This window comes from Homo sapiens, chromosome 4, assembly GCF_000001405.40.
Source record: "Homo sapiens chromosome 4, GRCh38.p14 Primary Assembly".
NCBI lineage: Eukaryota > Metazoa > Chordata > Mammalia > Primates > Hominidae > Homo > Homo sapiens.
The window spans coordinates 140,085,029-140,111,127 of NC_000004.12; the positions used below are offsets into that span (position 1 = coordinate 140,085,029).

Consider the following 26,099-nt stretch of genomic DNA (forward strand, 5'->3'; position numbering starts at 1 on the left):
TGCTCCCCTGAATATCCCCTCTGATGCTTCTGGCATCCCAGTATCTGCCCCCAGACCACAGTGAAGCTGTTAGCAGGATGTGAACAGAGTTCACAAAATCAAGGGTTTGTTTACATACCAGCCACAGCACGAAGAAACAAATAAGGTCTAAATGCCTGTTGTCTCATCTGTTTTTGTGTTTTCCTTGCGTATTTCTTCCCAAGCTCTTAACAAACGGGTAATGGGTAGTTAAACATTTGCGACCAGTTACTCATCTTGCTTTGCAGTCATAGAGCTGGTCTAAGTGGAGCAGCCAGTAACTTCAAAGGACACCCTAGTTTGGATCTGTTTCCCAGGGGACAGAGCGCAGGCCCCAGGGCACCCTCATAAAACCCGAGGAGGGAATTACTCCATTCCCCACCCCTGGTTACCTGAATCACACTGTGCACATGTACAGAAGCTAAAAGGTTCTCTACTTTGCCCCCATTTGACTCAGGAAAAGGAAAACAAATGATAGATACCTGCACTGGTTCCTCCCACTCGCTACGAACTCCATTCTCTGCGCCCTTATGCAAACCTCTTAGAAGGGTCAGGGCAGCTGTTTCCAGAGCTGCTTGGCCAAAACGGGCAAACACATGGGCATGAAAAGAATTCTGAAAATACTTCCGATTGCTTTTCTTGTCTCTCACACAAGAGCATGCTTAACCCACGGGTACCTTTCAATGTTCATGTATAATAAATACAGTTTCAAAATAAAGAATAAGACACCCAAAATCCTACCTATTGGGTGTAGCTGCTGCCTTCATTAGTCAAATTTTCTCAGAGACCGTAGCTCCAGTTGCACTGAAAACCGTCGTTTTTTAATTATTTTATATCTGTGGCCATTTGTCCTACAGATTTCTTCTTGGCCTCTATCATTTTTGCCAGTGGAAAATTTATGCTTTCCCCTTTAACTACTACTGGTCTAAATTTACTTTAGTGAAGAAAATTTTGGCTCTAACTAAAACTCATGTAAACTTTCCATTTCACCGTGATGTTTTCTTTTCTTGGATTCAGCACAAGTCTTTTCTAATCTAAGAAATGGCTCTTACAGGCCCTCCTCAAATGTTTGTTTTCCAATTTAAGAGGATCTCTCTGTACATATACATAAAACATTAAAAGCTTCAGTGATGTGTCCAAAGTTGCTCTAAGGCGGGAATAGCTGATCTGACCCTCCACCATCCGCACATAGGCGCTACCTCACAAATGTGTCTGGGTAAGACCCTGCCCCATCAGCGTCCCCTGAAACTTCTCTTCCTTGAATCTCACTTTGATAAGCACACATGCTTGGACTCAAACAGGTCATCTCCAGTATCCATTTCTTTCATTTTCTTTTGTCCCACAATAGAGTTAAACAATACACTGTCTCGTCGTCCAAATGCTTCAAGTGGTTTTACATGCTTTATTCCAACGATCTTCTCAGTATCAATGTGAGAACAGAGAGGATGAAGAAATTTCAATCATTCTTTAAGGGAAAAAAAAAGGCATTTAAAATATCAATTATTTTGCGATCAGCTCAAGATCTTACAGGTATGGCAGAATCAGAACTAAAGTACCAGTGTTCAGACCCTCACGAATATGGTGAATTCATCCTCCTACTCTCTCTCATAATATAGAGTAAACCTAAATGTAAACTGAACCACTTAAAGGTGGGGTGGGGTGAACGAGAGAAGAGGGGAAGGGGACCATGAACATTAAACCATTTCACTAGAAATTTTCTTTGTTTCTAACCTGTCGTAGGAGTAGAGAAAAAAAAGAGAGATTTTAAAAAGAAATTTTCTTTCTTTTAAGCTATGTCCCTATTGCTCACTTTGAAAAAAGAATGAAAATAGGCCGGGCACGGTGGCTCACGCCTGTAATCCCAGCACTTTGGGAGGGTGAGGTGGGTGGATCACCTGAGATCAGGAGTTCGAGACCGGCATGGCCAACATGGCGAAACCCCGTCTCTACTAAAAATACAAAACTTAGCCGGGCATAGTGGTGCGTGCCTGTAACCCCAGATACTAGGGCGGCTGAGGCAGGAGGATCGCTTGAACCTGGGAGGTGGAGGTTGCAGTGAGCTGAGATCGTGCCATTGCATTCCAGCTTGGGCAAGAGTAAGACTCCATCTCAAAAAAGAAAATACAAAACATTCTCCTACCAATCCTTACTCAGAATTGAAATTTTCTATTTTTTGTGTGACTCTTTTACTAGTGATGTTCTCTTTTACTAGTAATCAGAGGGTCCATGCTATCTTATATATCCTCTCAATGAATATGACTTCATATACTCATCCCTGCCATAGCATCCCATTCTAAAGACATTTTTGTCTTACGAAGCAATATTTGCCTTGACATTCTGTTATTTGGGAATTTGCACTGTTTCAGTTTCACTGGAAATAATGCTACCATGAGAAACTTTATTCTTCACAATGATTTGGAATTTCCTGTGGTTTCTACGCTACGAACAATAAAGTTTTACCTCTTTTTAATTATTGTGAAATTCTTTCCTGGATATATTGTACCCATTTACAGAAACATCACCAAAGTGTAAGTGAAGATGTTTTTCCACATTTTAATCAACGCTGGGTTTAAAACTCACATTTATTTTTTTAAAGTGTCTTAGGCATATAACTTCACTTTAAAGTTGTCTTAATATATGTTCTTTCAGCTCCTAATGAGGGTGTGTACTTTTCAGGGTGATAATTTATCATCTATATTTCATCCTGGGTCTCCTTCACTACTCACACTGCCTCTTTTTAAGCACTGAATCATGTCATAGGTGGAGGAAGGGGCCAAAAATAATTGTTTAATCATAACTATACAACCAACTCTTTACGATGAAAAACAGAATTCTCTACTTCAGGAAAATGAGATTATATTTAGCCTTCTGAAAATGAGTAACAATCAAGCATAAATACTTGTTAACAGGTTCACACATAAGCACATGAAAACAAAATTGGCCAAGCTGAGGCAGGAGGATTGTTTGAGACCAGGAGCTCGAGATCAGCTTGGGCGACATCGCAAGACCTCAACTCCAAAAAAAATTTAAAAAATTAGCCGGGCATAGCGGTGCACACCTGTAGTCCCAGCTACACAGGGAGGATCATTTGAGCCCAGGAGTTCGAGGTTATGGTGAGCTACGATCTCACCACTGCACTCCAGCCTGGGCAAAAAAGTGTGATGGGAGGGAGGAAGGGAGGGAGGACGGGAGGGAGGGAAAGAAAGAAAAGTAAGGAAGAAAGGAAGGGAGGAAGGAAAATTTACCTGGTCTAAGAGGGAGAACCCTTTCCCTCCTCTCTCCCCTATCCCCTTCTTTCAGACAAACCCCAATTTCTCCATCATGACAGGGCTGTCCAAAAAGTCATCAAGATGTAGTCTTATCCTTTGAATGATTCTCCTTCTTATCTCAACAGTTATCTCTATGTCCAAAACACCTCTTCCTTTCCATTCCCACTGCTCCACGGTTTGGGCCTTCCTCATTTCTGCCCAGACTAGCAAACTCATGTTCCAGCTTCTAGTCTTTGTCCTATTCTACGTGGTACTAACAGAGGAACTTCCTATAGTACAGCTCTGACCTTGTTTCTGCAGTGTACAAAATTCTGAGGTGCTTTATGCACTGACAAACCATATCCCAACTGGCTCTCACCAAGAAAACGCATTGCCAGGAGCTCTTCACTGGTATCTCCTTTGGTATTTAAAAGCTTCTTAAGGAATGTGAGTGTGCTTATCATAGTGCTTAGCAAGACTCTAAGAGTACTCAAAAGAACTAATTTAGAGTTTTCTGTGTACTATTTCACAATACCCAGTCATCAGATGTAAGCTGAGTAAAATCAGTATCTTAATTGTATCTCCCACAGTTCGGTGCTTTCAGTGTGGAATTTCTACAAATCATCATTGAACAAATGAACTACGGAACCAATTGCTCTTTATTGAATCCACTGGTTGAGTGCTCTAGAATAAGCCACCTAGAAACATATTGGTATTTAAAACATCAATGACAAGGAAGATACTAATACTCAAAATACTCCCACAAATTTGTTTTTGAAAAGAAATTATTGTAAACACAAAATAAATGACAGGCCTTCAGGTGAAGCTCTATTATCATATCATACCTATGACTGACACCAGCAAAGATATGGATGTGCCTCAGGAAGAAATGTGTTACCAAGACACTAATCCATATACTTTCTAAAGAAATTGCATGTCCTAAAAATATAATCCTTCCAAAATTGTTATTATAAGTAAGGCAAGGCTTAGTTTGCTTGATCAGATTTTGACCAATAATAATAAGAAAAAGAATGGAAACCCCCCCTTGACAATCAGTTACACATTCTCCTTAATCCCAGCATGATGTAACAGACACTGTCTAAACTCATAGTTGGAATTCCAAGTTCATGTTCTTTCTTTCATTAGTTTCATGACCTTGGGCAAGTCACTTCACCCTAGGATGTCTCTGTTTCTTCACCTGGGAAATGAGAATGTTTGGCTCTGATCTTTCAGATTTCATCTAGCTCCAGAATTCAATGATTTATGAGTATTTAAAATAAGCTTTTTACTGATATATATAACAGCATGAATGAATCTCAAATGCACAATGCTAAGTGAAGAAGCCAGATTCGAAAGGCTACCTATTCTATGATGATATTCACATGACATTCCAGAAAAAACAGAACCATAGGGATGGAGAGCAGATCAGTGGTTACTGGGGATTGGAGGTACAGGGGATTGTTTGACTACAAAGGGGTAGCACGAGGAAATGTTCTTTGAGGGTGGGGTAAGAGAACTGTTCCACATCTTGATTGTGGCAGTGGTCTTGAACTCCTGGCCTCAAGCCATCCTGCTGCCTTGGCCTCCCAAAGTGCTGGGATTCCAGACATGAGCCACCGCACCCTACCCTATGTGGTAGCGGTTAATCCAGGCATTTGCCAAAATTCACAGAAAGGTACACCAAAAAGAGTACATTTTACTGGATGTGAATTAAAATGATTTAAGGTATTAGAAAATTTATTTTTCCAAATCCAATGCATCTTTGATGACATAATAGCTGGACAATATCCCCCAAGAAATTAACACCAAACTTCTGGATTTACTGTCGCCATTTTAAGACTGATGAACAGGTTTACACCCAAATAATTTGCGGTGTGTTTTTACGGTGGTGGTGGTGTTAATCTTTCAATGGACATTCTACAGAGTGCTTCTGTGTAGCTCTGTTTTCCAGTGTGGAATATCCAACAATGAAACAGCGAAATGAACTCTAGCGGAAATGATTCTAGGGCTGCCCAGGACCTGTGTGGCCTTCATGGAATGTTAGAATGTTGTTGTTATCTTTGTGATTCAAACTAAAGATATGAGGCACACAACAGGAATGACAATAACAACACAGCAATAATAGCAACAGCTAACATTTAATCAGCACTTAGTAAGTTCCAGGCACTGTTCTAAGTGCTTACCTACAGCTGAAGTGCTACAGTAGCTCATTTAGTTCTCAGAACAATCCTGTACTGGGTTATACTGCTATCTCATTTGACAGTTGAGAAGATCAAACAATGTTCTCAAGGTCAACTGGCCCGTGGGTGGCGGAGTCAGAATGCAAACCTAGACAGTCTAACTCTTACCACAAAGCTAAAGCTGCCTAGAAAAGCTTCATTGAAAGAATAACTTATTCATCTTCGTGGAGAGTCTGTGGCTACTACTACATGCTTCCACAAATTCTTATCTAGGCTTTCTTCAGAAATTGGACAGGCCAGGCATGGTGGCTCAGGCCTATAATCCCAGCACTTTGGGAGGCTGACGCTGGCAGATAACTTAAGGTTGCAAGTTTGAGACCAGCCTGGCAAACATGGTGAAACACCGTCTCTACTTAAATACAAAAATTAGCCAGGCATGGTGGCAAGTGCGTGTAATTTCGGCTACTTGGAAGGCTGAGGCAGGAGAATCACTTGAATCCAGGAGGCGGAGGTTGCAGTAAGCCAAGGTTGCGCCACTGCACTCCAACCTGGGCAACAGAGCGAGATTCTGTCTCAAAACCAAAACCAAAACAACAACAACAAACAACAAAAAGACAGAGAAAGAAATTGGACAGAGGGCTTTTTCTAATTAGGAAAAGCCAGCATCTCCATCTCTGCCTGGTAATTTCATGAAGTCTGCATAGCAAAAAGCCCTACATACACTATTTTACACAATCAGGTACAACTGCTTTTTCCTATTCCATTCTCCTTGCTCGCAGCAAAGCTGGCTTTAGCTGACAGGCAAGATTTTTTTCCTAAAGCCTTCCAAGATAAGCCAAGAGAGGGGCTGAGCTTCTCCTACCTGCCACCAGTTAGGGTCTACCTTTTCTTTAAATCATTTTCACTATTTTATGTAGGTTTAAGCCTCTGGGTAGAAATCTGTCCCAAAGCAGACAAGTTCCTGTTCCTGAAATGACTAATTCCTTGCACAAGGCAAGAGGCTGGTTAGAACCCTTTCAACTAGAGGGAATGATTAGTGTAAAACAAAACAAAACAACAAAACAAAAACAAAACAAAAAAAAAAAACAGGACCAAGGACCAAGCTGCTGAGGCTGAAGGAAACCACATAAACAAAAACAATACACCCATTAGATAGTACTTGTAAGGTATTCAGACCCTGAGAAATTAGTTTGAATGCAGTAGAAAGGCAGATTACAGGAGAGAAAGGGCTCCCAACTAGTTCAAGGGTTTGTTTAGTCTACTTATCAAGCCCAAACTAATCATCTTAATGGCTGTTTATGCCCAGAACAGGGTTCAAATGGCCTTTCGAAGAAAGCAGGGCAGACCCAGGCTAGCAACCTTCCTCTCTTCGAGGACTGCAACCTTCTTCTCTCCAAGGACCCCAGGATTCTCCTTACTAAGGATCCCCACTCTGAGCAGGTAAAACAGCAGGCCATAGTTTTATTTATTTCCTATCTATTTATTTCCTATCTTCAAACGAGACTATACACTCCAAAAAGCAGTGGGGTATCATCTCTGTTGTCCATTGCTCTATCTAGCTTATAGATCATTTTTGAGATAAAAACTTTATATATATATACGTATATATATACGTATATATATATATACGTATATATATATATACGTATATATATATAATATCAGAGGGTTAATGAACTGTCTGGAGGGAAAGATGGGAACTCAGACTTAATTTAACTCCTTGCTTTTCCCCGATGCAGACACCGAAACCTTGCGACTGAGCATCAACAGGTGCCTTCCTCCTGCAAGGAAACTTTCAGAAAATCTTCAAGGTAAACCAACTATCATTCTACCAGAATCAAGGACACCGGTTTCCAAAATTCTAATCCAAAAGGGGGAGTGGGACTGGGGGAAGATCATCAACAAGGCAATCCTTCACCTACTCCTACTCCTCAAAGCAGCATCAGATGAGAAGCCGGGTGAGGCATGTTAACCGAGAAGCCCTCCTCCAATTAATGTGCTATTGCTCCTTTAAAACCGAGAACAAACGGCGCGGCCGCTCCTGATCCCGGAGGCTGCAGAGCAGTAATTGTCACTTAGCCACTTAACTCCCCGCCGCACTGCTCACTCACTCATCGTGGTTTATCTCTCAGCCAATTACTGCTGTCATTTGCGTTTCAATGTGTGCCATCAGGGGCCAGGCCCAGTCGACAGCAGAACAGAAAACACCGGGAGGAGAGCCGACTGGCTTCCAGAGGCGGGTGGAGCCCACACCTCATTCCCTGCTGCTCTGTGGGAGCTTGGAAGGTATTCTCCTATCGCAGAGGCTCCCAAAACAGCTCCAGAAGGGACCCAAAACTACCTGACCACACTCCAGTTTTGTGCTGTGCCTGGCTGTACACTGAGGCAACCAAAAAGAAAAATTTGAGCCCTAAGTACCAAGTCAATAATAAGGATGGTGATATTAAAGCAACAGAAACTTTAGCAGCTTAGTGTGACAGCAGACAAGAGACAAGTAGAGGAAGTGGCAAGGATTCCTGCACTGTATTATTGTGAAATCCACCCAGGGCTAGCCTACAAATGTGAAGACAGGAAAACTTTATAGGTCTCGCTGCTCTTTTATGCGAGCAGATTTCCAGGCACGATGTTGTTCACCCATCTATAACTTGGCCCCAAAGTGTGAGGAACATATGAATTTTCTTAGGCGGTCCTGAGTTGAAATATCTAAAAATTATATTTGCATTCTATTGCCATATTATAGACTGGTGATACATTCTATACTTGGTAACACAATTTCATTTTTAAAAAAATTTCTTCAAGGCACAACCAGATGTGACTTTTTATAACTAAATCAGAAAAAAAGCTTGCCAGACCATGTGTCCAGATTTTTCAGTTCTGCAAAGATATCCTTTCTGGTTGCTCAGTGGATCCTAACCACAAAAGCTAAGACTCATGTTTGTTTGTTTTTTTTTTTTTTTTTTGAGACAGAGTCTCGCTCTGTCGCCCAGGCTGGAGTGCAGTGGCACTATCTCGGCTCACTGCAATCTCTGCCTTCCGGGTTCATGCCATTCTCCTGCCTCAGCCTCCCAAGTAGCTGGGACTACAGGCACCCGCCACCACGCCCTGCTAATTTTTTTTAATTTTTTTTTTATTTTTAGTAGAGATGGGGTTTCACCGTGTTAGCCAGGATGGTCTCGATCTCCTGATCTCGTGATCCGCCCGTCTCGGCCGCCCAAAGTGCTGGGATTACAGGCGTGAGCCACCGTGCCCAGCCAAGACTCATGTCTTTAAATAGTTTGTTTACTCTGCCTTCCTGGATCAAATCTATACCATCATGTGCTGCATTAGGGCTTTTCTCCCAGAAGGTTGAAACCTCCCATGATTGTAGAGGCAGCACCTTGGCTGTATTACCCTAGCCTGAGATTTCCTTTGGAGTGCATTCGGTCTGGCCGTCAGGTTGTCCTGCTCACTGTGCAGCATGATCCCCCTGACATTCCATCCTTTGGAGCCCCAGTAACCACAGCAGGAGGGCCAGCAGCTGAGGCTGAGCCAGAAGAGACCTGTTCTAGCTGGATCTGCACAGCCTGGTCTCTGGGTCTAAAATAAAACTCTTAACTTCTCTGCCAATGAGCTCTGCCAGGCCTGATGACGTAACAGGTCCCTTCAGTTCTATTTGCAGGCAAGGTCCATTTACATCAGGATTTCATCCAGGTAAGGGGGAATTTGGGAGGGGGAGGGAGTGAGGGACTCTCAGAGAATGGACCTGTCTTCCCATCATGCATGGAAAAGGTCTGAAAGAGCTGGTGAGGTGCCAAAGTAATTGTACACGTCATCTTGAGCTGTGCAAAGAGGAGCAGGCCTAGCTATAGCTAATTGCTATCCTCCGGCTATATGCTCCCCACTGAATACCAGAGAGGGGAATCTGTTCGGTGCATAACAAAGAAAAATCACAAGTAAAATAAAGCTAAGCAGCAGCCGGCCAACGCTGTGATGCTGCGACCGCCAACCATGGCCAGCCACACACAGGGAAACTCGGATTTGTCCTCACTCATCTTCTCTCAGGCCTTCTAATTAAGAAAACCTTAAACTTGGAACCAATTTACTCCTTTCTCGCTCATTTAAGTCATCACCCTGACCCATCTCTGATGAAGACAGAGCACTTCAAACAATGGAGAGTAGTTCCTAAGATAGCCGGTGGCCAACGTGAACTTCCTAATTAAGGACCCACACAAAAGTAACTTTCTCTTCTTCTGGGCTCTTTGTGTTTGTAAAAATGCGGCTTCAAGCTGAACAAACTATTTGATCATCTTCCCGCTTCCTTCCTCCTTTCCTGTCTGTCTGTCTGTAATGTTTCTCAGCTGATCAATAGCTGTCTCTCTGTGTCATGAAGTGTGCAATAAGCTGTTCTTTTTCTTTTGTCTCAAAGCCAGAAGACGCTGTATGGAAAGACCAGTTCCTCTTCTCCCACCCTTCTAGCTGTGCGTGGCAGCCCAGTGGAGGTCTGGACGCTTGCCACTGAGTGCCAAGAGCAAAACCCAGGCCAATCAGCAGGACGGATCCAAGCCCCTGACTGCAGCAGAGGTGCCTCTCCGCAGCCAGGCTGCAGCCACCCACAGCCTTGGGGCTGCCCTGACCCTGCCTCAGGCAGGAGCCCCGCCTCCTTCTCAAAGGACGTCACAGAGTACCTGCCCTTGGGGTGCCACACATCTTTCTTTGCTCTCTTTTTTCAGATTCAATTTGCCTGAATAGGAAGAACCTCTCCTTCCTGCCTAATCTATTCCCAGAAATCCCAGCTGCTCTCCCCAACTTTCACAGAGCAAATCAGTAGGCCCACCACTGTCCATGTTGGAGATCACACTGAGCCTCGTCTGGACCCCCCACTGCTTCTGGAGCATCTCCACAGACGGTCAAATCTGCATATCCAAACCTGAATCCTTCATCTTTCTCTCCCACTTGACCCCCAATTGGCAACAACACCCTGCGCTCCAGGCTGAGGGTCAGGCTTAACTGTCCCCTCTCCTCATCTCCTACATCCTCTGCAAGCTTTCTAAATTTTATTTCACACACATTTCTCAAATCCAGCCCCCAGAATCTAGAGATAAGACCACAGCCCTAGTTCAAGCCCAAATCCATCCTCCTCACTGCCCTTCTTGCCCCCTCTTCTTTCCAGGGGCCGCCTAACACAGAATTCTAACTCCATTGCCCTGTGTCCCTCTGCCCTACCCTCCGAGCCCCCCAATAACATCTGAGAACCCATGTTCCTCTCCACTGTCACCCACTCAATCCTTGCAGCAGGGACCTGCACTGGTTCCTACCCCGCCACAGGAAGCTTCCTGCTTCCTGTTCAGGCTCCACCCTCTCCAGAGAAAGGCCCCTCCTCCCCTTCACCCAGCTAATAACTCTGACTTTGTTCACGGACTCCCCACCTCCAGACTGGGCTAAGTGCTTCATACACATTTCTGTCATTGGATCAAGCTCCTAAAGGGCAGGGACTGGGTAATATTTCCCTGTGTAGTCTCAGCACCCAGTTACACACTGTGGGCTCCTGTTACACACAGCAGGTTCTCAGCAATTGGGATATTGCATTTGTACTTTCAGATTACTAGCTGATGCTCTCTATTACCTACCACAGGGCAATCAATACCTAAGTATGCCTTAGACCCATTCTGGTGCTACCTATTTAAAGAAGGCAGACTCCTAGACACCAACGGTTGTGTCTATGGAACATATTTTGTCTAGCAACTTACGCACTTTGGGGTACTTAATAACTTGATGGAGTTGAAGATGATGACGGTGACAATGACGTCAACCAGGACAGGAAACTGGAGATGATTAGACATCCTTTATTCTCCAAGGCTGTGTAGCTGCTTAAAACAGTTCTCGATGAGTCACAGAATGACAGCTCATTTATCTTGAAACCTTAACTAACCAGAATACAGCATGGACCCTCAGTCAGACACACTTCTGAGAAGCTGAAATACGTATCCGAAAGTTCACATGCTTGTCCACACACAAGTTAAAGAGGTAACTTGTGGAAGGGGTCATCTAGTCTGCATTCAGGGCCTATTTATTCTTGCTTAACATTCACCTTGATAATCTATGCGATCTCATTCCTCAGTCACAGCAAGTTATTTGATGTAAAATATGAGAAGAGGCGAGGTGGCAAGAGGCTGCTGGGGACTGACACGTGGGAGCAGTGCAGAAGAGAACCCTGACAAACCTTAAAAGAACACAAAGTACATAGTAGTCTTGGGATGGCTCATGTTGAGGGACAATGAGTTCCACACATATTAACAAACCCTAATGACACCATCACACAAAGGTACAATATTTACCCTCACGATGATGAGCAAGATACCGAGAGAGTTACATTCTGTGCAATATTTTCTACCTGCAGAGAAAAGGAAGTTGAGAGAATATTTTAAGATGATTTCTATCAAGGTGATTTTTTTTAAGGAGTTTTAGCATTTACTGAAGTAGATTGCATTTATCTGGAAATTTTGCTGCTGAGATACCTGACAAATGAGCCATTGCTTAACTTCATCCAGCATGGAACTATTAAGTAGCCACGGCACAGGCCTTGCCCACCAAGAGTGCACAGCCTAAAACAGCCCAATACCCTGGAGAATACATTTGTATATTTAGTTTTATTTTAAAACACAGTGAAACAGGAAACACTATCTGCCAGAAAACTACCAAATATAGAATGTCCCACACCTCCCCATCCATGCAAAACACAAACGGACTAAGATTTCAATTCAGGGCAAGAGCATAAGAGATGAGTCTATTTCAAGGCAGGTTCCACTTGGGAAATGATAATCTTCTTTTGGTCTTGATAACCCACTCTCCTCAGTCTCTCTCTCCTTTCCTCTCTCCCTCCACCTTTCACCACCTCATCTCAGCTCCTTCAGTGTACAGGAGCTGCTTAGAAGGAGAAGACGAAGCCGAGGTTTTGTTCGAGTTGTTACAGTCCCATGGTCATTTCCGTAGTGGGTCAGCAAGTACAACCAAAGTAAATCCAAAGAAGGGAAGGATGAGAGCTACCTGGTTATTTTTCAAAAAGATGGGGCTTTGAAATGGGATTTAAAAAAAAGTTGGGAAGTATTAAAGGGAAAATCTTCCTGAAACCGGATACTGAAGAAGGAATGTACTGAAGGAAGACGGGGTGAAGAGTGGCCAGAAAAAAAAAAAGGTTAATTTTATAAATAATACCAAAGAGTTAAGTGGACAGAATGATGGGAAAGAAGCTAAAGTTTGGCCACTTATCTGACCATACCTGCAAAACTGGAAATTTCACAACCTCATCTCCAAGCTCACGTTCCTTCGTGGTGACAAGAGGGAAGTGAAGACTTTTAACCAGATGGGAAAAGTTACCACAATATTTCCAATACTGTGTTTCCACCAAATATTTCCAAACTGGCATAGGATAGAGGGCATGAACCAGCTATCACTGACTGGCTTGGCATTTTTGTCAACCTGCCTGTATTAAGAAACCTGTCTTGAAAAGAGCATTTTTATTAAAAGCTAAAAGCCTTCAAGTCCTCCACGTTTTTCTCCACTACGAAGTATTAGAATAGAGAGAATAAGCTATCGTTCATTTATTCAACATTTACTGAACACCTATTAATTATGTGCTCGGTCCAGGGAGTTCTTAAGAGTTCTCACATTTTCAAAAACTGGGAGAACTTCTATTTTGCATATGTGAAGTGTGTTTATTTATACCCAAACAATATTGTGATAAAGAACATTTGTAGTTCACTCAAAATATTCGCAGTATGCTCAAAAGGGCAAAGGTTTTTTGAATCCGAGCTCTATTACATACAATGCGCACGTCCTTGGGCAAATTATTTCTCTAGACCTTGTTTTCTTCATCTGTGTAATGGGGAACTAGGTTTCATCATTTTTTATGAAGATTAAGTGAAATATCAGCTGGCAAGCACTTAACAGAAGCTGGCACATGGCATTCAAGCAATCATGCATTTAGTAAATATTTATTGAGCACCTCGTATACGCCAGGCTGTGTTGTAAACACAGAGCCTCACCAACCAAAGGGAGAAGCCAGATTCCCCCTTTCTTATCCTTCCCGTATCATCACCAGGACTTCTCAGGGGCTCTGAAAGCCTGTGAAAATGAAACCAACTGGACGCAGTACCAATGCCAAACACCATTATTTTCAATATCTCATGGTGCTCTGCACCAAGGATTGAATTTTCAAGTGAGATTCACGCTGCCCATGAGTCCTGGGCACAAAGGCCATGTGGCTACTGGTCTGCATCGGGCTATTCACCTGGGGACCCAAAAGCAGAGCCCTGGAGCCACCCACACCCTGGCCTCCAGGGTTTAGACAGAAATAGAACTTAAGAGACATAGGTTGCTGTCTCTCTTGCCTTTTTGCTCTTAAAATGAGAAAGGTGACTTATTTTGAGGTGGGGGAGGGATACCCTCTATTCAGAGGAAGTTCCCACATGAACTGCTACATTGTTTCTCTGACTCATTTTTACTTTTCCTCCCCATTGCTTCCCAGCCCTCCCTTGATGTCTCGGTCTGTTCCAGATGTGGTACAATAGGCTCTTTGTTTACAAGATTGTAATGTGCAATAAAATCAGTTATGAGGCCAAGAATAATTTATGCACAAAAAAATAAGGACAGTAAAATTGACATGAATTGTATGTTTTACAGTACTTTTTGATCTGTTACATTCCTGTTGATAGAATTGATAGACACTAGCTAAAAACTTTTAAGTGTTCATAAAACTCTGTTCACATTGGAAGTATATCACACACACACACACACACACACACACACACGTGCACACAAACAACTCAGGAGCAAAACTTTTTTAAAAGCCTTAAGCAAAATACTGAGTTCTTAATTTTGTTACTGACACAAGCATCCACCCAGTCTCACAAGTAAGAAATCTGTAGCTATTTTCTTTTTTTTCTTTCTTTCTGTCTTTGTTTTTAGAGACAGGGTCTCACTCTGCCACCCAGACTGGAATACAGTGGCACCATCATAGCTCACTGCAGTCTCGAACTCCTGGGTTCCAGCAATCCTCCCGCCTGGAGTTATTTTCAGTGGGTAAGGCAAGGTTTCATGGGAAATCATAGACAGTTTGTAGCCAAACATGCTTGGCTCTGAATCTCAATCCTATTCACTTCTAGCTAGGAGGTTTTTAAACATCTCAAAGCCTCAGTTACTGCATATGAAAAATGGATTTTGGTGAAAATTAAATTAGATAAAGGATGAGCAGAATGTCTGAACACATGTTTGGCAATCAGAAAGTTATTTCTCCAACCTCCCTTCCCCAACACACCTCTCAAAACCTTTCTTTTCCATTCTATCACTCAGTTTCATCTCTCCTGGACTACTGCTCTCCGACAGGGTTTTCAGCCTTTTGTCTACTACTCCTTCAAACCATCCCAAACCTGCTATTACAAACAACATTCAAAAATCAGAAATTTGATCATGGCACTCCCTGTCACAAATCCTCCTATGGTGATAACATTCAGAACAAATCTGCATTCAGAGAAAGTCCACGTGTCCCCAACCCATCTGTTCAGCCTCAACTCCCCCATGACCACCCCACCCCTGCCCCTTGAACGACCGCAGCCCCCACGTTCCAGGCACCCAGTCATTGTGAGTGGAGCATGCCATCTGCTCTGGTGCATGGACTCTCACTGCCACTCCTCCGGGATGCCAGCCCCACTCCACCCCCTCCCATCTGTAGAGATCACTGTCTCCTTCAAGGCTTAGCCCCAGTGCCACTTCCTCTCTGCAACGTTCCCGGATTTCCTCTGCTGACTCAAGCCTCCACTCATGTGTCTATGCCTTTCTCAAGTTTATTATTTAAACTTTTGTTCTCCAGTTATCCATATCTATGAGGGTCCACCCCCCTAGACTCAGTTCCTCCATGACAGAGACCAAATTGTATTCATTTTTACAAACAGTCCTCAAGTTTTATCCTTCCTTGCAAGAAGAAAATAAAACCAAACAGATAATTTATTGAACTGAAAGGACAGAATGAGGATAGAAGTAACTAAACAATGCCCCTGTGAATAGAGGCATTTCTTAGTGGAAAAACATATATATGTGTGTGTATGTTTGTATAATGTAAAAACGGAGCAAGCCATTCCCAAAGTGCTTCAAATTCTGGCAAAACTAAGATGCACTTAAAATGAAGTCTTAGGTGTATTAAAAAAAAAAAAGATTTCAAAAACCTCAGCAAACCACAGAGGTATACACCATATGTGGTAGATTAAAAATGACCACAAATTCTTTGATCCTTCTTCCATGGACAGATGTGTCTATTCCACAACCTGCGTCCACCACTTTTAAAGGTGAGTTGCCTATAACTGCTTGGACCAATCAAGTATGGGAGTGATTTTGAATATGGGAGTGATATTATGCCATTTCCAAACCTAGTGCTTAATATGACTAACAGTTTTGGCCTTGGTCTCTTGGAACCCTGGGCTTCCCTGTAAGAAATATGAGTACCCTAATGGAGAAACCACATGGAATGGCTCCAAGGCTCCATGGAGAGGCAGACAGGCCCAGTGGGGAGCTCAGTCTTCCAGGCATCCTTGCCAAGGTGCCAGGAAGGTGAGTGAAGCCATATTGGATCCTCCAGATCAGAGCAGCCATTGACTGACTAACAGCAAGGGACCAGAGTCGACGCTACATGGAATAGAAGAATCACTCAGCTGAGCCCTGCTTGAACAAAATCACAGATATAATCAAATAATGGTTGTTTAAGCCGTCAAGTTTTGGTGTGGTTTGCTAGTTAGCAATAGGTAACAGGAACACAATTTTAATCCCTTTTGGCCCAGCGTCCTACCCTACCTAATAGAACACTTTTCCTCTAAAGGGAGGAAAGTGGCCTTGTGTAGAATAGAGCTCCCAAGTCACTGATGGTCTAGTTGAAGGGATGAGAAACTCACCAGGCTCTTGGACAGTTGCAGTTGTAATGCACTTGTGTAATGTATAATACACATTTCTTTCAGATAAGTTCAGTTTACCCACAGCTGTTCTATCTGTCAACAGATATTGGGGCAAATGTGGTTAATAACTTCAGGAACAATTTGGTAGAATTCTACTCAGGAAGCCAGGAGACCCTCCATTTCAGTCTTTTACCATCCACATCTCTTGTGTATATGAGGAAGAAATGTTTGTGTCTTCATTTGCCTAGCTATCACATGAAGAGAAGCATACGTGATACCTCTTAGATCAGTGTAAATTAGAAATGAAATCAGGTTATGGACTGAAAACACCTTCAGTTCCTTGGCCAAAAAAAGGCTAGGTAAACTCAAGGTACTATCATCATTTTGCAAATATGTTATTCCACTATATAAAATAGCCTAAATTAGTAAATGCAATTCCACGTGCTGGGTCAGCTGAGCATTTTTTTTTTTTTTTTACATTTGCCAGATTCCCCTTGTTTTGTCTTTCTAGCCAATAGAACAACACTAAAATATATGGAGAATTTAACTAACTTTTGAAAAAGAGATAACACAAGTTAGAACCAGAAGAAGTCATCTGTGCCATAAGTTTGTGTCTTCTAAGAGCCATCAGCCAGGCAAAATGAAGTGGGAAACTTGAAACTTAACATGTATAAATGATTTGTGTTGTTTTGTTTTAATGCTAAGTACTCAGCAAAAAGCTGAGTTATTAGAAAATGGACACTAGCCTGTGCTTGTGGGCATAAATTCTCCATCTATGAGAAGGCATGAATTGAGGCACTATATTGATTACATTATGTTGTTTATTCTCATATAACTCTCTATTGTAGAAACGATTTCTAGCCCCATCTTCAAGATGGGAAATGGAATCCTAGAGAGACTTCATTTTTCTCCTATATTTGTATTTAGCAATTGCTATTGCTGCCGTAAGAAAATAACACAGGGTGGCTTGAACAACAGAAATTTATTTTCTCACAGTTCTGGAGGCTGGAAGTCCAAGATCAAGGTGCCAAGCAAGGCTGGTTTCTCCTGAGGCCTCTATCCTTGGCTTGCAGATGGCCGCCTCCTATCTGTGTCCTCACATGTGGCCTTTTCTCTGTGCATGCTTATGCCTGATGTCTCTTCCCCTTCTTAAAATGACACCAGTTATACTGGATTAGGGCCCCACCCTTATGACCTCATTTAACCTTAATTATCTCCTTCAAGGCCCGCCCTCCAAATACAGTCACATTGAGGATTAGGGTTTCAGCCTATGAATTTTGCAGGCACATGAGTCAGTCCCTAAGAACTCTACAAATCACCAAGCCAGTCAGTGCAGAGCCAGGGTAGACACCCTGGCTCCCTGCCATTATCTGTGGTCCCCCTGATTACTATCCGTGGTACTTCACCATCCCATCACTGCCTCAGTCTATGTCCAGAGAAAATGGCCTTGTGTAAAATTACTCATCACCACCAAGTGAAGAGAATGAAGGCCACAGTAGGAAGTAAAGGAAAGAAGGGAAGCTGAAGCTATAGGAAGACAAATGTAAAATCCAGAAAAACTGACACTTAGCAAGGCAGAAAGTGCAGCTCACACCCAAACCTATTCTGTGGCCAAAGACTCCCCTCACCGTCCCCATAATTTGGGCTTTGTTGTAACTGCAAGAAACTCCCCGACGCCACTCTCAATGGTGAGGAAGGACCACTGCTTGCTCTGCTACTAGAAGTCATTGGCAGGGCACAACTCAATCACATGCTTTTTGCAAAATTACAAGATAATATACAATTTAATTTTTTCATCAGATTTTTGCAACCAAAAAATTTCAAAGACCTTGGAGTGCTATATAGCTAATAAATGCAATTAATAAAGATTTTGTGATCAGCTAAAACAGGTTAAATCCCAAAAAGCAAGACATGGTTTTTCTCCCTCTTTCAGATAATGCAGGGAAGCATCACATATTTATAAAGCACAAGCTTTCAACTATATTGGATTTTCCTTTTAAAAAGAACAATAATTTAAAGTGGCTTCTAGCAGAGAAATGTTAGGTACATTTAAATGGGTATTTGTGTTCTGAAAATCCTAATTGGAACTCTTCTATTGTTGTTGTTTATGTGTGTGTTTGTTGTGCTTCTGAGAAAGGGCTGAGGTTCTTTTGTGCATTAGAAAGCCTTTCATCTAAAATTCCAGTTTCATACAAAATTAAACCGGCATATTGGAGATACAACTTTACAGAAAGCATGAAGACAAACTGAAGTATTGTTTTTAAAAGACAGGAAAAATCAAAATGGTTTTTCTATGTGAATCATTCTACAACAAATATGAGACACAGCAGGATGGATGTATCTTGGACCAAGATGACATCCGTGTTGCCCATGACCTGCTGCTTATTACGTCAGCTTCCTGGGCACTGCAAGCTGGTGAAGCCTTACCAGCTAAGCCTAAGACACTGCTAATGAGGTAAAAATGCTGCATCACCTTCAGTTGTGTTGGCTACTAGCATATTAAGATCAAAACTGCATTCTTAGCTTCACCAAAGCAGAGACCAAATTTTGGTTTACAAACCACCCCATCCTATTGTTCAGGAAATGACTCAAACAAGGGTATTTCTCCACTATTCTCTCAGTAAAGATACAGTACGTGCACTGTTGTACACATCATATCACTCACTTCTGTTTTTAATAGAGATGATCATCTGGTATTAAAAATAAATAATAAGAACAAATGTAGTGGCTCATGCCTGTAATCCAGCACTTTGGGAGGCCAAGGTGGGAGGATCACTTGAGCCCAGGAGTTCAAGAACAGCCTGGGCAACAAATAGAAACCCTATGTCTACAAAAAATTTAAAAAATTAGCCAGGCATGGTGGCACATACCTATGGTCCCAATATGCAGGAGGCTGAGGCAGGAGGATTGCCTTAGCTCAGGAGGTCAAGGCTGCAGTGAGCCCTGTCTCAAAAAAAAAACCAAACCTATTTTATATATATATATAATATATATATATTATATATTATATAATATATAATATAATATATAATATACACGAATGTGTATATACATATATAAATGTATGTGTGTGTATATATATAATTTTTTTTTTTTTTTTGAGAGAAGGTCTTGCTCTGTGGCTCAGGCTGGAGTATACTGGCCCAATCTCAGTTCATTGCAACCTCCACCTCCTGGGCTCAACCTCCACTTCCTGGGCTCAAGTGATCCTCTTACCTCAGCCTCACGAGAAGCTGGTATTACAGGCACGCAACATCATGCCCAGTTAATTTTTGTGTTTTTTGTGGAGATGAGGTTTCGCCATGTTGCCCAGGCTGGTCTCAAACTCCTGAGCTCAAGCGATCACCCGCCTCGGCCTTCCAAAGTGCTGGGATTACAGACATGAGTCACTGCATCTGGCCATAATATATACATTTTTTAAGTACCTTAAATAAAAGAATAAAGGCATCATTATAAAACTTTAATTTTTTTTAAACCAAACCAAAGGGATTTAAAGTTACATATTTTTAATGTGTATTTTAATAGACTGTTAGTGGCACTGTCCTTCATCTGAGATATTAATTCAAGGCCTTTTCAGCTTTTCTCCCTAAACTTTCTGAGTGGGCACAGAGGATCCAGAGTGTTTATGTAAGCAGTAAAAGAAAGTCCTGGTATTTCCACCAGAATCCCCTGCTTAACAGAAATATGTCCCAGCATCCTTATCCTGAAACTCCCTGACTTAGCTGCCACAAAAAGACCCTCCATGTTCCTCAAAGCCACCACCCCCATCATGTAACTCAGGCCTGAGAAAATTGTGTCCTATCAAAGAGAAGATGTTGTGCAAAATAAAGTCCTTTTGTGCTAGTGCACATTCTTGGATAAAACATCTTATTTGTAACTGGAGAAAAGACATTTTTAAATGGTGATCAAAACAATCATGATACCAGATTTACCCAGCGGTGAATCCAGAGGTTTCATGAGCAACTCGACTATCCTGGTCTTAGCCAGACACTTCATTTTAAGTTCTCATCAAGTCTCCTGCTCCTGTGCTACTTTTTTAGAGCTAAACTAAGCCCAGGTAAGTATCAAGGATTCCCACAGACCTTCTTAGTACCTTATGGAATAAATAGTAGGAATTAAACATGAAAAAACCCAAAGGGTCAGCCCATCCTCTGTCTGACAAAACAGGATTATTCTCTACAGGGCATTTTCAAGTTAGATCGCACTCATTTTTCTTGTTTACAAAGCCTCGTATTGATAAAGTATAACAAACAGCTGCCTGTTTAAATAGTTTCACTGAGAAATTAATAAGTGAGCATGTAACTCTGGGAAGTTGCCTGTGGGGGACATGGAGGAAAAAAACAAAATCCTCTTCCCCAGTCTGGTCAATACACCCATCACACATCAATCAAGTGATGGAGACACTGGCCTGGCCCAGGATAAGGATGCTGGATTCCTGGGATCCTGGTGTGCAAATCACCTGATGAAATAACTAGGAGAAAACATTTCTATCCTTAAAAAAATTATAGCTGAATGCGAGGTGGCTATAGCTTTCCAAATTCAAAAGATGTGAAATGAGCCAGCCTGGTTTTTCTACCTCAATGACTCCTAATCCCACGTTTAGGACTCCTCACTAATAATTCCATCACTCTGCATTATGCTATACACTAGGGGCAGTCATCCCAAAACGAAGGAATCACTCGTCGTCTTTACTTCAGGAAATTTCTTGGTAAAACTGACTTCAAGAAAAAAAAAAAAAAAAAAAAAAAGAGCCCCTCCTGAGGCATCTAAAACAATCTGGGGAGAGGAGGCTCAAATTAATTTTCCATTTCCTGTTTTTCCAAAAATCTTTCTCTTTGATTAGACATTCCCTGCTTGGAAGCAAGGGTAGATTGACTAATCCTTCTAATTAGCCCTGGTTGTCACAGAAATACTCTTTTCCTTCTAATTGCTCTCAACTATCATAAGCCCCCATTCTGGTCAATGGATTTATAACTCTCCCAAGTAAATTTCCTTACATGATACACATGGTAAACTGCTATATGCTCCTAGTCTTAGAAGCACCAATCCAACAGAAGCATGCATTTGTGTGTGGGCATGTGTGTGCACACCCACGGAGAAGTGACCATGAAAGTCATGAAGAATCTTCCTTATGCAACTGTGACCTTAACTCTGCTTTCTTATTTAAAAAAATCAGTATTTCCAAATACCTCTAAAGTACTAGGATTTAAAATTGTATAGGAATTCATTGCAGCATGGAGACTGCTACACACCAATACTCAATTTCATCACTTTTAATGGCTTTAATGTTTACCTTTTTTCTTAATCATTGGTGTTGCAACTACCCAGACTATTTGTAAAGCACTGGCAACCAATCACAGCTTGAAAGCAATTCACTGATTTTCTTTTCTAGTCTAAAATATGAAGGCTTAGCAAAATCCTGAGATTAATTCTGGAGTAAAACCTGTTAATAAACAAGTTAGGTTTAAGAAGAGTGGTGGTGTTTGTTTGTTTTTTTGAGATGGAGTTTCGCTCTTGTCGCCCAGGCTTGAGTGCAATGGCATGATCTCGGCTCACTGCAACCTCTGCCTCCTGGGTTCAAGCGATTCTCCAGCCTCAGTCTCCTGAGTAGCTGGGATTACAGGCACCTGCTACCATGCCCAGCTACTTTTTGAATTTTTAGTAGAGACAGGGTTTCACCATGTTAGTCAGGCTGGTCTCTAACTCCTGACCTCAGGTGATCTGCCCACCTCAGCCTCCCAAAGTGCTGGGATTACAGGCATGAGCCACTGCGCCCAGCCAAAGAGTGGTATTTTTATAGAAACAAGAAAATAAAAAAGCAGATAATTTATAAACATTACTGAATGGAGGACCAATCTCCTTAATGTATATAAACTATATAAACTACACAATGAAAATATATTGGTCAGCGGTTAACACAGAGATTAAATCTGAGTCTAGTTTTCAATCAGTTACTTGGGGCTTACATCACCATTGAGTCCTTTGACTGTATAAACCTTCCTCATTTTAATGATTTAGATTATTTGTCTAGCACTGATGGGTTACCAGTCTCTTCACCTGTTCTGTCTGATATGTCCTCTTATTTAGGGTCTCACAGACTATAGATGAAAAAAATGCTTTTTTTTTTTTTTTGAGACAGACTCTCGCTCTGTCACCCAGGCTGGAATGCAGTGGCGCGATCTCGGCTCACTGCAACCTCCGCCTCTCGAGTTCAAGCGATTCTCCTGCCTCACCCTCCTGAGTAGCTGGGATTACAGGCGCCCACCACCACACATGGCTAATTTTTGTATTTTTAGTAGAGATCGGGTTTCTCCATGTTGGCCAGGCTGGTCTTGAACTCCTGACCTCAGATGACCCACCAGTCTCACCCTCCCAAAGTGCTGGGATTACCGGCATGAGCCACCATGCCCGACCAAAAAAATGCTTCTTTAGGTAGAAAAGACCCCTCAGCCAGAGTGATTAAAAAAAAAATGACGGTGGGGTGAGCAAATACATATGCTGAGAAAAGGCACCGAGAGGAACAAAAAAGAAATGGGGGAAGAAAAAAACAAAACAAAACAAAATCTACAGGGAACTACCATGCAAATTAACAACCTCTAGCCTGTAAAGACTTAAAAGGAAATAACCACAACCATCATCTTTGAATCCCCAATCACATATATGACAAAAGACATATTGGGCTTGTCCTGCAAACTCTAGAGGATCACTTTATATACCTTTCCCCATCCTCTATCCCTCCCAACCCACCATGTATGCACATGTGCAAACATACACATGTGGGCCACGGCCTCATTGTTCTATGTCTCTACTCATGCTGCCCCTCAGCCTGAAATGCCCTTTCCTCTTCATCTACCTTCAAATTATCCTTTTAATAACCTGCTCTACCACGGGCTACTCTTGGGAGCAGGCTGTCCCCTGCTTCGTGCTCCCCAGTACATGTCTATTATGGCACTTAAGCTGCACTGTCGTCATTTAATGCTTCCCTGAGTCTCCAACAAAACTGTGAGCTCCCTGATGGCAAGGCTGGTCTGTACATTTCTTGAAACCACAGATCAAAGAAAAACTACAAAGAGTCTGAAGTCAGGCATACCACATTTGAATCTTGGTTTTGTCAAGGATCTTATCTGCGAAATGATAATGGTATATCTACTTTTCAAGATTATTGTGGAGATTAAAAGATTTAATGACCTAGCACATACTAGATGCTCAACAAATGTTAGATTCTACTTCCTTCTGATTACCAGGGCCAAGCAAAATTCCCAGCATTTAGTGTATGTTCAATCCATGTGTGGTGGATTAAACTGAATCTCTCATACTCTGATCAGTTATATCCCATGGGATATAAGAGTAATCTTTTCACCTACTCTTGTTAAGTTAAATTTGAATACTGAAGAATATGCCAAAGAAGATAACTTAAGTGAAATGTCAGAAGCTGGGGCCACACTGCCTGACTCAGGGGCCCTACCAGGAAACAACCACTGCCTCATCTGCTGTGCCTGGCTCTCCAAGGAACACACTGCCCAGCCCAGGATTACTTCTTTTTAAACTTCCTGGTCCCTCTTTTTTCTCAAGTATAGCATAGATATAGAAACATATTTTCCTTCTTATTTACAAGACTGCATGGCTAAATGAGAACTATAAAGCTAGTTTCAACTTGTTGAGACAAAGCACCACACACTCACACATACAAGTTACACTTATTGTCTCAACATTTGAAGGTTTCAGTTGAAGGCATTTATCAATGTTTAAAAGAGAAGAGACTAAGAAAAGAGAGAAGAAAAAAAGAGGAAAGGGGAGGTGTGATAACTATGCTTGACAAAAAGGAACCCCTCCACAGTTGAAGGTATCCTCCTACATTCAAGTAGATGTAGTCCAGTATGCATAACAGACTACAACTCTATACTCTATGCAGTAGTTACAGTGCCCTATTGGAATTTCATGATAATGATTTCTTATACTTCTCACTAGCAAAAATTCAGGGGTGCTCTCTGGAAAAAGGAGGACTGAAACCTCTTTCAGAGTGCAGAACTAGTTCCCTAGCCCCCAAGCAAAGCTTCTAGACCACACGGTGTCTCCTTGCCTCCTCTGAAGCTACTGCATTAACACAGTAGATCAAGGGGGAAGCAGAAAGGCATCGTGTTAACCATGTGTATGCAGACAGCCACGCAACACCCAGAAACGATTTCTTCTTTTAATAGTCCACTTTCATCTTATTAATAAAAAGTAACTCCTACTTCTTCAGAATCTCCTAGAGCTTATAACAGAAAGCTTTCCTTCAACTAGGCTTGCTTTTCTCCAGCTGATCCTATAAACACTGCTGGCAATTTTTTCCCCAATGCCTCTAACATATTTTCACTTAGCACCAGTTTGATGTATAAGATCTGACAGCCCGGCAGTTATAGGCCACCTGCATCACTGTCGCCATGACAACAGTGAAAGACAATCCATGATCCCATGCCCTGGTCACACGTTTCAATACAGCTTATCTGTCCAAAGCCACTGAGTCTAATGGAAGAGAGTAATTACCATCTTCCACTCATTGTCAAAATTCCCACCATATAATGCTCTTCAAAATTATTTTATTCCTCTCACATGGCTGCTTTGCAAAAACTAAAAGGAATCTTAAGTGGAAAACGGGGTGGGTGGGAGAAAGAGGAGGCTGTGACTGGTATAAGTGGAGCCGCCTGTGCGTGAACTGTCCCTTTGCAGCCAACGAATGCACCAGCCAGCAAGAAGGATACATGAACAACTCTAGTTCAGCGATGATCATCTCAAGATTTTTTAAAATTTGAGTAAGGAAATCAGACGGTAAAATGTCCTAGTTTTTGGCCTATTCTAAAGGCATTTCATTACTACCAACAAAACGCTTGCACAGGGGCAATGAGCCCCCTACGACTGCATGCAGCAGGCACAGCGACACTGCACAGTGCAACGGTTCAGGCAAGTGGAAAGGGGGAAACGGCAGATGCCTTCCACACGAACACTTTACCTATCGTCGTTTTTCCAGCATTCTTCACACCTTTCCTTCACGCTCTAATAATAAGATGGATACGCTCTAATAATAAGATGGCTACCTGACTGTCCGGCATTTGCATTCAGTACTGCATATTCCTGGTGGTGGGTACAACCCCATCTTTGAGCAAAGTCTCATTCATGCAGTATTAAAAAGTGAACTTTGACCAGCAAACACTTTCTGTGGAAAAAAGCCTTGTGGAGAAAAGTACTTACAGGAAAGAGTAATTAAATTTAAAGGCAACATTCAAAGTCACATGGACTTGAAAAGCAAACTACAAAAAGCAAAAAATGGACAAAAGGGCACAGAGAAAGATAACCCTCCGGGTGCAGGCAGCTCAAATCCTAGTAAGACTGCTCCACCCTTCTTGAATGTCAGTCATTTCCACAGGAACAAAATCGTGCCCATTATCCACTCCCTAACTACCAATAAAGTTACATGAAGTGGTACCTAGCTTTGTGGTTAGCATAAAATATCCTAGTAAGAAAAAATAAGCAATTTCATATGATGGAATACATACCAACCCATGAAAGGACAAGAGTGATGTAATTTTTTAGAAAGTATAAATAATGAATTCTTAGATTAGTATTTGTGCACCTGTCAGAATGGGCCCGAAATGTTTTATTTATGGCTAAATCCTAAAAACCACAGCCATAAAACATTTAACCAGCTGTCAGCACATTATAGTCATGAACTGACACTACCTATGCTATGTATTAAACAT

General features: G+C 42.0%; 1 protein-coding gene across 3 annotated transcripts in view, besides 2 other annotated features; it reads right to left on the reverse strand.

Moving 5' to 3' along the window:
• MAML3 (mastermind like transcriptional coactivator 3) overlaps positions 1 to 26,099 on the reverse strand; it is a 437,432-nt gene that overhangs the window by 368,276 nt on the left and 43,057 nt on the right. The gene's annotated exons all lie outside the window — the stretch shown is intronic.
• Positions 7,196 to 8,047: an enhancer, noted in NCBI's record as "OCT4-NANOG-H3K27ac hESC enhancer chr4:141013378-141014229 (GRCh37/hg19 assembly coordinates)". NCBI's record gives its function as "activates a minimal SCP1, AML or CMV promoter by ChIP-STARR-seq in naive and primed H9 embryonic stem cells {active_cell/tissue: H9 hESC(naive and primed)}" and the evidence as "EXISTENCE:reporter gene assay evidence [ECO:0000049][PMID:30033119]".
• Positions 10,007 to 10,056: an enhancer, noted in NCBI's record as "active region_21933". NCBI's record gives its function as "activates an Ori minimal core promoter by ATAC-STARR-seq in GM12878 lymphoblastoid cells {active_cell/tissue: GM12878}" and the evidence as "EXISTENCE:reporter gene assay evidence [ECO:0000049][PMID:35858748]".